This window comes from Homo sapiens, chromosome 9 (genome assembly GCF_000001405.40).
Source record: "Homo sapiens chromosome 9, GRCh38.p14 Primary Assembly".
NCBI lineage: Eukaryota > Metazoa > Chordata > Mammalia > Primates > Hominidae > Homo > Homo sapiens.
This window is the reverse complement of record NC_000009.12, coordinates 2,826,155-2,843,016: the sequence shown is the minus strand read 5'-3', so window position 1 is coordinate 2,843,016 and position 16,862 is coordinate 2,826,155. Positions and strand designations below refer to the sequence as shown.

At 36.7% G+C, this 16,862-nt stretch overlaps 1 protein-coding gene across 1 annotated transcript in view; it reads left to right on the top strand.

The window, feature by feature from the left end:
- PUM3 (pumilio RNA binding family member 3) overlaps nt 1-16,862 on the top strand; it is a 39,944-nt gene that overhangs the window by 1,079 nt on the left and 22,003 nt on the right. Inside the window, exons 2-10 of the mRNA NM_014878.5 lie at nt 4,500-4,591; nt 5,616-5,837; nt 8,851-8,986; nt 9,585-9,660; nt 11,673-11,766; nt 11,989-12,055; nt 13,069-13,243; nt 14,239-14,342; nt 15,866-15,944. Coding sequence (NP_055693.4) covers nt 4,510-4,591; nt 5,616-5,837; nt 8,851-8,986; nt 9,585-9,660; nt 11,673-11,766; nt 11,989-12,055; nt 13,069-13,243; nt 14,239-14,342; nt 15,866-15,944 — 1,035 coding nt within the window. The 5' untranslated portion in view covers nt 4,500-4,509. The remainder of the gene's footprint in view (nt 1-4,499; nt 4,592-5,615; nt 5,838-8,850; nt 8,987-9,584; nt 9,661-11,672; nt 11,767-11,988; nt 12,056-13,068; nt 13,244-14,238; nt 14,343-15,865; nt 15,945-16,862) is intronic.

Sequence of the window (16,862 nt, the reverse complement as noted above, 5' to 3'; positions counted from 1 at the left end):
CATTAGGGTGGTGACGTAAGGGACATTTAAGAGAACTAACTTATGGTTCAGCGTGGCAGAGTAGAGAGGAAAATGTCAAGGGTAACTCAGATTTCTTACTTGAGCAGTAAAGTAGATGATGTGCCATTGGCTGAGATGGAGGACGATAGGGCAGGGAAAAATAGTATATTGTTGTTTGTGGGGCAAACAACAATAACATAAAGAACAACATAGAGAATTATGTTTTGGACATATTAAGGGTAAGGTTCCTGTTAGACACATAATTAGAGGTATCAGATAAGCAGTTATACACAAGTTTGGACCCCAAGGAGAAGTTCATAATGGAGACATGATTTGGGAGTACTCAGCATAAAAAGCCAGGAGATTGGATGAGACCACCTAGGGAGAAGTGTGGAGAGAGAAGGGAAGTTCCCTAGGGCAAAGATTTGAGGAATGCTAACATGTAGAGGTTGGTCTATAAGAAAATGTCATTTAAACTGAATTTGAAGGATGGGTAGAAATTGTGTTGGTAGAGAGAATGGCTTTAAACTTCACTATTCTGATAAGAATAGTGGCTCCTGTGTGGTGGTGATGAGTGGGGTGAATTAAGACCACATTTTGAATGGCTGTGAATGCCTGAGTTGGAACTTTTTCCTGAAGGCAGTGGGAAAGCTTTGAAGCTATTGGAGCATGGAAATGACATGAAATAGGTGTGCTACTGGAAGGTTAATCAGGCAGCGGAAAGTGGATCAAAGCAGATAGGATCTAAACAAAACTGAGCAAGAGGTAACAGGAGCCTGAATGGGGTAATAGAGGGAAAGGAAAAAGGGGGGCGAATTCCAAGAGACACTATTGAATGTGATGATTCATTACGAAGGTACAGGGTTCCCAAGCAAAGCAAATTGCATTTTGCCCAGTGCAAAAAGCAAGACTCAAAAAGTTACATATTGTATGATTCCATGTATAAGAATGCCATTCTGGAAAAGACAAAACAGGAGTGAAAACCTAATCATTGGCAGTCAGGAAAGAGGGAAGGAGTTGAATACAAAGGAGCTGTACCAGGGGACTTTTTAGAGTGACAGGACTTTTCTGTAAGATACTGTGGTAGTGGATGCATGAGTCTTAGCCATTTGTTGAAGCCCGTGGAATTATACACCAGAAAGAGTAAACTTGACTATATGCACATTTAATAAATCTGCCAGCATTTCTGGGGATGGAATGCAGGCTGTGACAAATCAGTTAAACTATATTATAAACATGTAACTTCACTAAAGAGGGTGAGGGGCCGAAGGGCTGATCTAAGAACCTTTTTTTTTTTTTTTTGGCCTGCAGCAGTAATTGCTGCAGGCAGAATACACTGACTTGAATGCTAAAGTTAGCAAGTAAAACTTAAGAGGAGGTAGGATGTCCATATATTCTCCAAACATCTTGTCTGAAATGTTTATTAATTGCTATGGTAGTTTAACATTTGAAATAGAGTCTCACTCTGTTGCCCAGGCTGGAGTGTAGTGGCACAATCTCAGCTCGCTGCAGCCTCTGCCTCCTGGGTTCAGGTGATTTTCCTGCCTCAGCCCCCTGAGTAGCTGGGATTACATGTTTGCAACACCACCATGCCCAGCTAAATTTTGTATTTTTAGTAGAGATGGGGTTTGGTCTTGAACTCCTGACCTCAGGTAATCCACCTGCCTCAGCCTCCCAAAGTGCTGGGATTACAGGTGTGAGCCACCATGCAAGCCTCTAAGTAACTTTGGAAAAGTATTTTGAATGGATACAAAAAAGAATTGTACGTCAACACTGTACTGTCATTGTAAATTTATTTCTCACGGGGTACAGGTTAGCAATTCTGAAACTATGCATGTATAGTAGGGTGGAATATGTGTATAAATAAATTGTAGATGGTGGGAAGCAGGTTGCTCACTGTCAGAGAAGGAAGTTACAAATGAGCAAGAGGAGATGCCTGGAGGAAAATATGTGGTGCTTGATTAGATTTGGAAACATCAGTATGAGCTTCAAGTTATTGTAATAGATATAAAAATAAATATAGGTATGTGCATATGCATAAGTTAATATACATATATGTGTTTCCTGAATCTGTCTGCCGAAAGGACATAGAAACAGGGACACCTCAGTGACAACAAGTGCGCCTAGCACTCAGATCTTGGTTTTTAAATACCATTCTCAATGAAAGGAACCAGGATTCCTTGGAGAAGTGGCTGATTTCAGGGCTAGGTTAAGGAAAATACAGAAGGAACCTGGAGCCAGTGCCAGGAAATAAGGATGTGCTTTAAAAGCAAAACAAAACAGTTGGGCCGCGTCAAAAGGACACAGAAGCAACCTGAGAAACTTCCCCCTGGCTGGAGCTAGCATTATTTGAGCAACAAAATAACAGTGGTATTGGATTATAACCAAGGAATGAAATAAATATCTGAGACTATATGATACAAGTAAATAGATGGAAAAGATGGGACAAGTCTTCCCTACAGAAAAGTTGAGAATAACAAAGGCAAAAGTAATAAGAGAAATAGAAGATCACCATTTAAATGCAGTAATTGCTGCAGGCGATATCCACCGACAAATGCTAAAGTTAGCAGGTAAAACTTAGGAGGACATAGGATGTCTACATATTCTCCAAACATCTTGTCTAAAATGTTTATTAATTGCTGTGGTAGTTTAACGTATGCCTGGATTCTTTAGTACCCCTCCTTCTGGGAAGTGGAGCTTAATTTTCCTCTGACTTTGGGCTGGACTTGGTGGTTTGGATCTAATAAAGATGGAAAGGTTAAAGTGGCAACTTCACAGTGGAGAAACCTGGAAAACACTACTTTGACCAAGTGAACACGGTTAACATAAACAGTAATAAGTCATGTTAATGTCATGTACCTCTTGATAGAGTACTACCAGAAGAAAGCTTGACCTCTGGTAGTCTTCCAAAAAATGTGTAGCCTTAGCCTAATCATGAGAAAACATCAGGCAAACCCCAAATGAGGAATATTCTACAAAATACAAAGGAGACTTGATGGCCAGATTCAGTGTATCCTGGTACAGAAAGAGGATATTAGTGGAAAAACTGGTAAACTCCAACTCAACTCTGTAGCTTAGTTAACTGTATGTTAACATTAGGGGAAGCTGGGGAAAGGGTATATGTGAACTGTGTATCTTTTCAACTCTTTTGTAAAGCTAAAATTATTTCAATATAAAAATTAGAACAAACATACAGAGAAAACATGTAAATGAATGGATTCTTAGAAAACTACAGGTGTAGAAGAGCTGAGAGATGCAGGTATGGTTATGATGGCCATAGCCAAGTAATAATGTGACCCTTCAGTTCTAAATGCCCTGAGGAAGCTGAGTAATTCAGGGACTGTCCATTTTTCAAAATCATTAGAAAAGTCTAGATTAGAACAGCACTTTCCAGAGTACTCCTTGGAAGTCTGCTGTTCCCTTATGATGTTCCAGGAAAAAGTGGTTCAACTGGAGTTGGAAAATCCTGCATCCTTTAGCCTTTGCTTGAGAATTGATTGTATATATTAGCAAATTAAAGAATCTGAAAAGCCTTTTCTTACGGGCTGATTCTTGTCATTTAACTTACTGTTTCCCAAATATATTTTATCCCAGAACCCTTCTTTTCTCTTATGGTAATATCCTGAGAAATTAGTTCTTGAATGGGCAATTCTAATCTAGAAATATCTGGTGTTGTCTAGGGATCCCTAACATCTGTTGTTTACAGCCAGCTTTCAAATGAGTTGATCGTCCAACTTTGGAAAGTGGAGAAATGAGCCAAATGGCTTTTTCTCTTGATCTGTTCTGCTGCTTTCAGGGACCTTGGGTAGGTGAGGGGTTATAACTTGTTTATCCTGTGCACCATGGTGTCTCAGTAGCCTATAAAGCGCCTATTAGACAGATTCCTTTCAATGAAATATTAACTATTTCAACATCTTATTTTGGAGTTCACTGCCAATTGCTTGGCTGCGTCTAAAACAATCACAGATTAAACACTGGATGCTAATCTTTGTTTTAGCTGTGTTGGATTGCATAGGAATCTTTCAGATAATCCTTTATTTTCTTATATTAAATGCATGTAGTGGTACATGCAGCCTATTGTTTGTTCCTGGCTTTTTAGGCTCCAAGAAATCAAGCGATAATTTTGTCAGTTATTCATCCCCTAGTCTTCCCAGGTTACAAAATGCAAACTCTGATGCTTATTATACTTAGTGTCAATAGTGGTCTATTTTTAGCCAGTACTATTGTGGAAGTGAAGTGATGCCTCCAGAGATATCAAACACTGGCCAGGGTGTGTGTTGTTCTTAGTTTTTTTATTGATACCTTGTTCATTTTCAGTTTTAAAATTTGAGTCAGTGATTGCAAAATTGCTGGATTTAAGTACTTGTCCATTCTATATCTGGCTGATTTGTATTGTATTTGTAGACTGAAGGACTAAATGTGGCAATGACTATGAAACAGCTCTTATTTGATGAAGAGAACTGCAGTGATTGTTTTTGGTTTTGGTTTTGGTTTTCCAGAGTTGCTACGATGGAAGTTAAAGGGAAAAAGCAATTCACAGGAAAGAGTACAAAGACAGCACAAGAAAAAAACAGATTTCATAAAAATAGTGGTAAGATATGCTTCCCATGTGGGTGTTTGGCTGTTATAATTGGGGGATGGGAGGGCATGTAGTAAATTTCAATCTGTATTCATTGGCTAGGATTAGGATTAAAATAGTAGGAAGAAGTATGTGTTATTGTGTATGAGTTAACATGTTGCTCATGACATTTAGACACTTAAGAAATTGCAAGAATGATTGAGGAATGCCTTATTCATGAAAGACTCCTTATCTCAGTTGTTGCTGCTGTTGCCTCATTTTATTCACACTAGTTCACCATACATTTTATTTTAACATTTGATAAATTAGGACTGTTTAATACATACTGCTCATAAGCCAAATACGTTTAGGTTCAGAATTTATAATGGTGATGTCTTTATTATTCCATCAGGTGTCAGTATTGTAAAACAGAAAAGTCAAGGGACTATACAAATGATTAATGTTTCCTTAATGTTAGCCATTACTGTTTGCATCTCATTTGTTAGGTACTAATTTGTAAGCCTTCTTGATCAAAAGTTTTTGATAAATAATTTTAATATAGGCTTTAAAATTTTCTTAAAACTAGAAAATTTTAAAATTAACATTTTAGATGTCCTTATGATATACTTTCCAAATTTCAAGAATGTTCAAGAAGTCATTTCTTAAGACTTCTTTTGTTATTGAACTCTTGAAAATTCTGTGTAGACCATCATTAAAGCAGAATACAAAGGTATATAAATAATAGCTCTGCTATATGCTTAAAACTAGAGAAACATACCAAACTGACACCAGTGTTTATCTTTAGTGGTAGAATCATGGGTAGCTTTTATTTTACATTTCTCTACTCTCTAGGTGGTTTTATAATCAAGGAAAGAATTTTTTATTTTTGTTTTGATTGTTTAAATCCAGTTCTACTCAAAAGGCTATATGTTGCATATTTGAGAGTAAGACATGGTATTGGGATTAAAAAGTATAATTTTCTGTAATGGATATAATCCAATAGATAAAAGAGATTTGGGCCCAGAATCATTGAACTTATAATTATTATTGTCACTAGATTCTGGTTCTTCAAAGACATTTCCAACAAGGAAAGTTGCTAAAGAAGGTGGACCTAAAGTCACATCTAGGAACTTTGAGAAAAGTATCACAAAACTTGGGAAAAAGGGTGTAAAGCAGTTCAAGAATAAGCAGCAAGGGGACAAATCACCAAAGAACAAATTCCAGCCGGCAAATAAATTCAACAAGAAGAGAAAATTCCAGCCAGATGGTAGAAGCGATGGTAAGTACTGGTTCGTTCATGCCTGAACTAGTGCCTGAACGATTGTGCACAGGGACTCTGGAGGTGCGTTAGAAACCTCACATTCTTATTCCTTGGCAGGTAACATTTTGGGACAGGTAGGTGGCTTAAATAAACAACAAAGCATCTTTCATGCTCACAATTTTCCTCTGGTGCTTAGAGTTTCTTATTTCTTAGCCCTTTTCTGAATTACCTTAGCCATGGAGTTAAGTTAAATTATAATGGCTTTATACAGTGGAACCTCAATAAAACATTTCTTTTTATAAGCTAAAATTTATTCGTTCATCGAACGAGTATTTGAGTTTTCTATGCATTGTACCAGGAGATAGGGCAAAACACACACACACACACGCACACACACAAAAATAATCAGTAAGGATACAGGCCCCAACTAATCATAGAATCTGGCTTTAAAGAATCAGTCTGTCCCCAGCTAAGTGTCAGCCTTGGTTAAGGATGCTTTGGTGAGCAAGAAACATAGAGACCCTGCCTTCACAGAGCTTAGGCCAGTCTAATACAATAAATCCCTCTGATGGCGCAGATCCATAGTAGTTCCAGAGAAGGTGTTGTGCACACATGACAGATTTGATTTTAATTGATTCAGGACAAGTTGCTCACTGATTGGAAGTATTGGCAGGTCTCGTGCTTGTCTGTTGAAACAAACTGCCCATCTCTGTCAACGATGTTCAGTGGGTCATTTCTAACCCAGAACTTTGCTCTCTATTTTATAACATTCCGCTGTCGTGCTTTGTCCTGCACTGATCTCAAACAAGCAGTTTCCAGGTTATGTGGATTGTCATATCATTACTTTCTTTGCAACATCCTGAGAATTTTTCTGGTGCCTTTTATTCTCTTTTTCTCCAGCACAGCGTGTCTTAACACTGCTCCTTTGTTGCCAGCTGAGACCACTGGGGATGGTTTTCTCAGTGCCATCCCCTAGTCCTGGTGCTTGCTTTTTACCCTGCCTAAGGGCTGCTTACCAGAGGGACAGCAGCCTTAAGACAAGGAGGTAGGGAGAGAGGAAGGAGGGGAAATGCCATCGTTTCCCATTAGGGCTCCAGGATCTTTTCATGCTCCAGTCTTGATCTTCTCTTTTCATTTTTTCTTTCTCCCTCATCTTCCTCCTCCCCAATTGCCAGAAGTTTCTCTTCCAGCTCTCTTTTCTACTTTCTCTTTCCTAACCTCTCTACTAGATCCCAAATCTTTCTTTCTCTACTGGAGTTTTTGATGCCTGCATTTTAAACACATATACATTAATTTCTCACATTGATATGAGGAAAGTTATGATTTCTTTTGCTATGGGAGATATGTTCCTGATATCTCAAAATGGGACTCTGGATTTCATTTTCTCATATTTTTGTATCAGTAACTAGACTGATAAAATAACATGAGAGATTGGTTACTAGACAACCCCCACACTGATAAATGTACTGCAGCCTAGCATGACATATGTCAAGGGTACCCAAATATTTATGGAATTAAATTAGCCCTGGATCAGTTCCTATCCTCTATTGTATAGTAGAGGATACCATATTAATATAATGGTAAATATGCCCTCTGTTGCCTATAATCTTTTGTATTACCAGACAGGGAATGAATATATAAGTAAACAATAAAGGAATAATAAATACATTGTAGTATATTGGATAGCCATTAAAAATTATGTTCTTGAGGAATGTTAATTTCATGAGCAAACATAATCTAATCATATTGAGTGAAGGCAGATTCTGAATTTTTTTCTTTTTTGAGGGTCTCACTTTGTTGCCCAGACTGTGAAGTGCAATGGCGTGATGATGGCTCACTGCATCCTCAACCTCCTGGACTCAAGTGATCCTCCTGCCTCAGCCTCCCAAGTAGCTGGGACTGCAGGCATGTACCACCACACCCGGCTAATTTTTTAATTTAATTTTTTGTGGAGACGGGGTCTCACTATTTCGCCCAGGCTGATCTCAAACTCCTGGCCTCAAATGATTCTTCTTCTTCAGCCTTCCAAAGTGCTAGGATTATAGGCGTGAGCCACTGCAGCTGGCCACTTTTTGAGTTTTTAAAGATTAAAACATGTATGGAGAAGAAGCAAGGGGAAAATTATCAGTGGCTATAGCTAGGTTTTGGTTTTACAGGGTTTTTCTTTTCTTTTTTTTTTTTTTTGCATTTTTCCCAGTTTTTTATAGAGACAGGGAGATAGTTAGAAGTGACTAATTCCCCCAAAAGATTCTGTGCCAGATACTCATGTAAATAATACCCATTTTAGTAAGTTGTTCTTTGTTTGGCATCATTAGTTCAATTGGTAAGTTACTTGGATTTTGAAGACAAAAAAGTGGTGATAGATATTCGACTTTTATAGTATCACTCTGTTTGTGGCGAACTTGGAAATTTTGGTTGTTCATTGTCATGACTAAGACAGCAGAGGGTTGTTTCTAGGTTTGAGTCCTAATTCTACCATTGCAGGTTGTGTGGCCTCAGATAGAGAGCTCAACTGCTTTGTTCTTTTTCCCCACCATGGAAGAGAGGGTAATATTAATACCTACCTCTTCGAGTTGTTGTAAGAAATAAGTGACTTAATATACAACAGCACTCAGAACAGTGAATTTTCGAAGTTGTTTTTCTTGTTTTCATTTGGACTAATTTTTGTTTTCATTGGAAGTTAATTATACCTAAAGTCCAATGATCTTAATCTTAAAAAGTAGAATTTTATTTCACAATTGAAAAAGATATTTAAAATATTCTAGTTACTTTTGTAATTCTTTTAGTGTCCTTTTCTCTTAATAGGTATCCTGTTAGAAGAATTAATGAAGATTTAAATTTAACCAAATGTAAAATGTACAAACTGCTCAGAAAGCAAAGTGAAGTATATATGGGGGATGGTATGTTCCCCTTTTTAGCTTCCAGAATGAGCATTGATCCTGATTAGTGATTGCCCTTTTTACCTAATTTGTATTGGTGTATGACACTTAGAATGTTAAATGTAATTGAAAATAATTTCTATAATAACTAGAATCAGCAGCCAAGAAGCCCAAATGGGATGACTTCAAAAAGAAGAAGAAAGAACTGAAGCAAAGCAGACAACTCAGTGATAAAACCAACTATGACATTGTTGTTCGGGCAAAGCAGATGTGGGAGATTTTAAGAAGGTAATTCTACCTAAAGATGCCTTTGTTAGTCCCTTTGCAACAGTGGAGAAGTCAGTGTACCTTGTAAATAGTGAGATGTCCTAAAATAAATGACATAGCACTTGGGTTATTGAGGGGGTCCTCATGACACCCCATTAGAGACATCAGTACTTGGAAGTCTGCCCGTCACAGAAGTGTGTAGAATCATTATGATGGCATCGGATATGCTTATGAAAATGTATGAGGTTGAAATAAATTTGACATTCTTCCTGAGAGATTTCTGAGAAAATGAAGGACAATTTCTTATCAGCTAGATTTTGAGATACTTCAGTATTTGTTATCTTAGATTTGTTTTATTATTTTTTTTACTTCTGAAGTTCTGGCTGTTAAGATTTGGATTGATACCTAAAATTATACCTTTTGAGATGAGTTTCTGCCTTTGAGAAAATTACTTTTGTCTGGCTGCTCTGGAATAGTAATTTTAATGGCAGAGGTTTGCTGCCTTAGAAAAGAAAATCATGCTGAACTTGGAGAACATATACTGGTACAGTTTTTAATTTTGTGTGTTTAAAATAACTTCTTTATTTCAACTGTGTTTCCTTCCTCTCCTCATTTGTAGAAAAGACTGTGACAAAGAAAAAAGAGTAAAGTTAATGAGTGATTTGCAGAAGTTGATTCAAGGGAAAATTAAAACTGTAAGTAGCATATACTCATTGTTGCAATTTTTAACAGTTGAAGTTGCCTCACTCTCAGGAGTAGCTGACCATTCATGACAGATGATCTTATCATTGTTTCCGGTGTATTTGGCCAAAAGTTTTAAATATCTTCCATAACACTGAACTACATAAAAATTTAAAAGTGAGGGACCTTACTGCTAGGGAGTTTTGAAAAGATTATCAGTCTTTTCAGTCATTTTTTAATAATTCTTAAAATAAGCCAGTGTTTCCTTAAAGTTATCTTGAGAAGTTTATTAGTTCAGTAGTATTTTATAAATGTGTTGTTCTAAACTCCATATAATTTAGTATGTTCTCAATTGCCAACTTCTTTATATTTGTGATGTGAACATATTACTTCATTCTTTTCCTCCATGCTTTTGTAAACATCATGCGAAGATCTTTAACTAAAATATAATCATTTCAGAATTCTAAAGTAGTTTTCATTGTTGCTGCTTAATCCTGTTTTGTAATAAATTTCCTGTGACTCTTGTGTATTTGGATTAATACATAATGGCTTGGAAGACAACAGATTCTCATAGTTTTACGGCACCTGGAGGGGCAGCCTTTGTCAAGTCAGATGCATAGGTCTAACCAGATGCTATATTACAGTTTGAAGGAAAGTAGCAAGTCATCAGCTGCCGCTTTCTTATAAATTCAGCAGGATCTTTTTACGATAGGACTGCCCCCTCAGCTCCGACAATTTATAAATATTTCACTCAGGATTCTTTCTCAACTACCCTGAGGTCACAGCTGTATGACCATGGTGTTAGAAGTGAGTTTGGTATTCAAATCCTGGCTGGGCTGCTTAAAATATGTGTGCCTTTAAACAATAACAATAACTTCTTTATTGATTATTTACTATAGGCTAGGAATTGTGTTAACCAGCACATGCATTGTGTCGTTTACTGTATGTCATCATCCGTGTTGTATATTTGATGTATCTGGGACTCAGGGAAGTAAGATTCTTCCTCGGGGTAATAGAGATAGCGAGTTCCTTCTCATAACCTTACTTCCCTCATCTGTAAAGTGGGAATAGTAACAGCTCATTCTTATTGTTGCTTTGAGTTATAAATAAGAACACTATGTTTAAGGCATTTATGTTGATTATATAATAGGTGCTCAATATATGCACAAAAACAGCCTTATTTTTTTAAGAGATACTTAAGAGATGTCTTACAAATCTTGAAATTTATGACTTTGATGGAAGTATACACTCACCTGATTTGTTGGAATTCAGAAACTTTAGAGTGAGCAACAAATAAGCACTTTTGAAGTAGACTGGTACTGTGGCGTAGTGAAAATAATTTTGCATGATGGATGATTCGTGGAGGGCGCTCTAGAAAATTGGTCAGTGGGTCCTTCCAACAGTCATGAGGAGGAATGGGTTAGAGAATCAGATTCAAAACACAACAACTCTTCTAGAAATATAACTGGATATATGTGCAGGAATTATAATGAAAATGTGACAAATGGATGATTAACTTATTATATAATTGACAGTGTTTATGGACATAGTTGTATTTATTTCTTTAGGAAGACTTTTAGATTGATCTTACAGGTATACTTCTGGTTGCCAAAGCCAAACATTCTTAGATCACTTATATAAAAATCATACAGTAACAGACCTTTTAAACAGAAATATTTCCCTTTTAGGGACGGTAACTTATCAAAGAAATGAGAAGTATAGTCTGTATAATCATCAGATGGTTTGGTTTGCTTTGGTTTTAATTGCAATGAGAGGAGTCTTGCAAAATGGTTAAATTTATCCTTGCCTCAATGTCATTATTGTACCTATCAAATATGGTAGGCCTCAAAACAACAGAATGATGTTTTGTATAATTAAAACAAGTAGTTCTCAGTAATCTAGGTTTGATTTTATTCATGAAGACTACCTTTTTTTCTAACAAGAAATTCCAGAAGAGGTCACAATAAATTAGTGAGAAACATAAGTCTCAAAAGAGAATTAGTCTAACTCAAACTTTTTCCTGCAGATTGCATTTGCACACGATTCAACTCGTGTGATCCAGTGTTACATTCAGTATGGTAATGAAGAACAGAGAAAACAGGCTTTTGAAGAATTGCGAGGTATTTATTACATACTAAAGATTATGTTATCATTTGCAATAAGTCACTTGTTTTCTCTTAAAATACCCAAGACTGTCCTAGAAAACAATTTTTGTTTAGGTTTGTCTTCTCCAGATCCTTTTTTGTTTTTATTTTTTCCTTGCCTGGGACAAATTTCCTCCCTTTGTTTCCAGAGAACTGAAATGAGATCTGAAGTCACTGTAATGTATTTTTGTTTTTCAGATGATTTGGTTGAGTTAAGTAAAGCCAAATATTCGAGAAATATTGTTAAGAAATTTCTCATGTATGGGTAAGTTGTTTTATGTATAAAATACATTTTTTCTTTGTCTTTTGAAGACATGGTTTCCAACTGTGCTCAGATGCGAGATAGGAAGTCTGTGGTCTTTATAAGTAATAGTAATGGCTCTCAGCAGATGCTTGTGTTGTTTTTAGAGAGTATCATCTTAAATACAATTATCGAAATTAATGTAAAATTATGGTACTGCCTTCATTCCTAAAAAGATACATGAGAAATGTCCTGCAAATCTCCTTGAAATTTATGACTTTGATGGAGGTATACCCTCACCTTCTGATTTGTTGGCATTCAAAAGTTTTAAAGACAGAGTGAGCAACAGATAAGCACTTTTGAAGTAGACTGGTATTGTAGCATAGTAAAAATAATTTTACATGATGGATGATTTGTGAATGTTTATCTTGAACCTCTGGAAGAAGAGAAATAGAATAATTAACTTATAATTAGCCACCAGTATTAAGAGGGTGGAGACTGGGGAGGGACAGGTGAGTAAACTGATAGAGGGTCAGTGGGTTAGAAAATGTCAACATGGGAGAATTTCCTAAATTAAGTGGAATTAGTACTTGTCTTGACCAATCTTTTTGAGTGTATTAATGTGCTAGAATATGATAATCAACAACAAAAAGTGTAATATATGCAGTTGACAAAATTTTCAAAAATGTATTCCTAGCTGTAGTTTCCAGCTGTTTAATTCTTTTAGGATATAGTTAAAATACTTGTGATTAAGTCCCATCTTCAAAAGGAATCTTAGAATATGATTTTCTATTTCCTTGAATCTTTTATCTTTTTTCCTGCCCTACTGTTTTTTTCGAGCAGAACAGTTTAATAGGAAATGACATTTATTGAGCATTTACTATGTGCTGGCCACAGCTTCTCAATGCATGCTAGCTCATTTACTCCTCAGAGTGACACAGATTGATGAGTTGGTCTTGGGAGAAGTAAGTTGTGTTTTATTGTCACCCAGCTTTCTCCTTCTATCATTTATTTTTCCATGATTGTGTTGCGTTTAGAAGTAAACCACAGATTGCAGAGATAATCAGAAGTTTTAAAGGCCACGTGAGGAAGATGCTGCGGCATGCGGAAGCATCAGCCATCGTGGAGTACGCATACAATGACAAAGCCATTTTGGAGCAGAGGAACATGCTGACGGAAGAGCTCTATGGGAACACATTTCAGCTTTACAAGGTGACATCTCCAGAAGTCTTTTTCTAGTATTTTTACTTTTCGATATGCTCTTCCTTAACTTCCGGTGCCCTATATATCTTTTGAATGTATTTTTACTGTGGCTGGTTCTTTAAGAGACCATCTTATGCCCTTGATTTTCCCTCATGCTTTATTTTGTTTCTGGTATAGTGAGCAAGTTTCTCTTTCTCCAGAGCATTGGCTTTAAATCCCCTTCAATTCAAACTTTGTTCCTCTCCTGAGTGCTCTGTGTGTAGCACTTCAATACTTCTATTTTTACAGTCATACTGAAGGACAAGACTCCCAATAGTTAGCAAAGTTGTGTGACCACCCCCAACCAGCTCTGGCTGAAGTGTATTGGGCTCTCTGTTGCTAGCTTCTCCTGTGTTTTTTCATGTGCATGCATTGCCCTTCTTCAGATTGTGTCTGGAGATGAAGGGGAACAGAGAGACCTAACCTTGGATAGAGTACAGGGATTGAATCTGAGAATAGTTAGCAGTGGGACTAGCTGGTTAAAGAATCTATTTCAAACCTTGGAACATAAATGCACACATGTGTCTGAAGGGATATGGATTGATTCCCGGGTTGCCTCCATTAGCCAGGTTCAATTCTTGGGTTGAATTTGTTGCTGTACTAATTTTGTTAACAGTTCGTTATATTTAATAGGAATAGCCAACTAATTATAAAACATATGGTGGCAAGAATTTGTGAAGTGACTACTTGATCTCATAATTGGGCAAGAGCTAGGTGCTTGGCAAGTAACTGTTAGCTGGTTAACTTGGTTGGCCTGGCTCTTTAAATGCACTGATAGATACACAGACTGAGAATCAGCTAATCAGGTTACTCCACAAGGATATACAGCAGAGCTTTCATTATGTAAATATGGGAAATCTTAAATTTGTTAAAACTTATTTTAAAATGACTAATTACTTTTCTTTTTCCTGAAGTGAAAAAATTGATTAAATTTAGAGGGGTTTGATTGTTTTGTTTTGTTGCAGTCAGCAGATCACCGAACTCTGGACAAAGTGTTAGAGGTACAGCCAGAAAAATTAGAACTTATTATGGATGAAATGAAACAGATTCTAACTCCAATGGCCCAAAAGTAAGAAAGTTGTTTTTGTTTTGTTCTTAAGAAATGACATTCAAAGGAGGAAGGTTTTCCATAACTGTTGCCCAGAAGAGGTAGCTATTTCCTGCTTACAAGTATTAATCTATTCTAAATAAGAGTGCAAAAGTGTTGGTTTGAAACCATTCTTGGTGCAAAAGGAGATTTCTTTTTCTGATATTGTACCCTATAAAATGATAACTAACATGCATTCGTGATTTATGAGCTTTTTTAAGCAATGAAACATTCTTTCCCCAAATAAAATGTTACATGGAAGCCATGTATACTAAACAGTTTCACAAATATAATCTGTTACTCAAATTTGGTTGTAGGCAAGGTACAGTGGCTCACGCCTATAATTCTAGCACTTTGGGGAACCAAGCTGGGAGAATCACTTGAGGCCAGGAGTTCAAGACCATCTGGGGCAATAGCAAGACCCCATCTCTACGAAAAAATAAGAAAATTAGCCAGGCTTTATGGCATGTGTGTATAGTCTTGGCTACTTGGGAGGCTGAGAGGCAGGAGGCTCACTGGAGCCCAGGAGGTCATGGCTGCAGTGAGCCATGGTTGTGCCACTGCATTCCAGCCTAGGCAACAGAGTGAGACCTTGCTTTAAAAAAATAAAAAAAAATTAAAAAATGGATTGTAAGACTTGGAAGCCTGTGCATGTGCCCTTCATGGCATCTGTCCAGTAGTGGAGTGGCTGAGCATAGCTTTTGGGACCCGACTGCCTGGGTACGACTCCTGGTTCCCCACTCCCCCAACTATTACTAACTGCAATCTTTGGCAACTTAACCTCCCTGTGCCTCAATTACCATATTTGTAAAATTGGGATAATAATAGTACAGACTTCATAGGAATTTTGTGAAGATTAAATGGGTTGGTTGTTCCAAAACACTCAGAACAGTGCTTTGCCCATAAAGGCAGTGTTAGTTTTTGCTGTCTACTTGGGTATCACCTGTGAACTTTAGGTCTTTTATGCCTGACCATCGGCCTCCACTGTACACCTGGATCCACCAAGTGTCACACTAGGGGGTTTGGATTAAGTAGGTGTTGTTGCAATTGCTGACAATGTTTGGTTCATTCAAGTTTTAATTCTGCTAAAATTATTTTGTGAAACAGATGGATTGTGAAGGGTGTTAACAGAAATAAAACAACTATTAAAAAAATACATCCACATGTGGATTTCTAATCATTATGTCCAGTGCTGGGGGAAAAAATGTAGATGTCCTTATTTAATAGAGCAGAGCATATTTCAAATGTTGATTTTATGTTTGCCGATTAAATACTAGAAGTTTATACTCTGGTCTTGGTTGTAGATGGCACTAAATCAATTTTACCATCTAAATTTTTGTTTAAGTTTTAGTATTTCTGAAAAATACAGTCTATTTTATGACAAATTGTATTCAGTAAAACCATTTCACTTGTTTAGATTACTTTAGGACTTTGAGATTACCTGTCTTTGTATGACTGTAGTGCCAGATCTGTTGTGTCTTTTTGCTTTTTTTTTCTGTTTTCAGGGAAGCTGTGATTAAGCACTCATTGGTGCATAAAGTATTCTTGGACTTTTTTACCTATGCACCCCCCAAACTCAGATCAGTAAGTTCTTGGTTTTTGTTTTTAAACTAAAACATGGAGGAGGAGCGGTGTAGAAATTTGAAAAACTGCTTTGATGTACGTTGTCTTGTGGAAATTTTAGAGTTGCTTCCTTATTTAGGGAAGATAATTTACTCAACTCCCTTTGAACACGTTTGCTAATTCCATTTAGGTTTTATTCCAGTAAACAATAGAATTGACCCTAGTTTTACTAATCATATTAAATTTTTATATCTTAATTATAATCCAGAGAGTATCCGCTGGCTAACCTAATCTGAAAATTAACTAACTCGTGGAGGAATATTCAAGCATTCGGATAGTTTTAAATTCAACTGTGCTAATACAAAAAAAAAATTAGCTTGGCATTAAAAGGTTAGAGGAGGATATGTTTGTAAAACTAAGTGGACGATGAAAACCTGGACTTTATATCATAGAAGAACAGAGTGAAGGTAAATTGCACTGCCCTTCAAGTCAGTCATGGGAATACAAATGAGAATTCATCATTTAGTTCCCTGAACTTTGCTTGCCTCATCATACAGTGAGCTCATTGTCCATTTGTCCTCATTTTCCAATCACAAGGGATAATGAAAATAATGAGACTGACTTAACAAATAACGCCAGACTATACATTCATTGGAGTTTTGACCCTCTTAAAATTGGCATGCAAAATAATTTCCTGATGGTAGCCACCCACGTAAGCTTATGGTTTGATGACCATAGCAGCACCTTCTGTTTTGGAGATTTTTCTTACTTCCTGAAAAATACAGTATCCCACGGTTCTGAGGCAGGACTATATGCTCAGAAATGACACAATGATTATTTGAATATATTCAGTGGTAGAAAGTATCTTTTTAGTGTTGAATGTTTCAGTAACAGCAAAAAATCATTTGGAACTTAGCATGCGTGTAAAGTAATGAGACA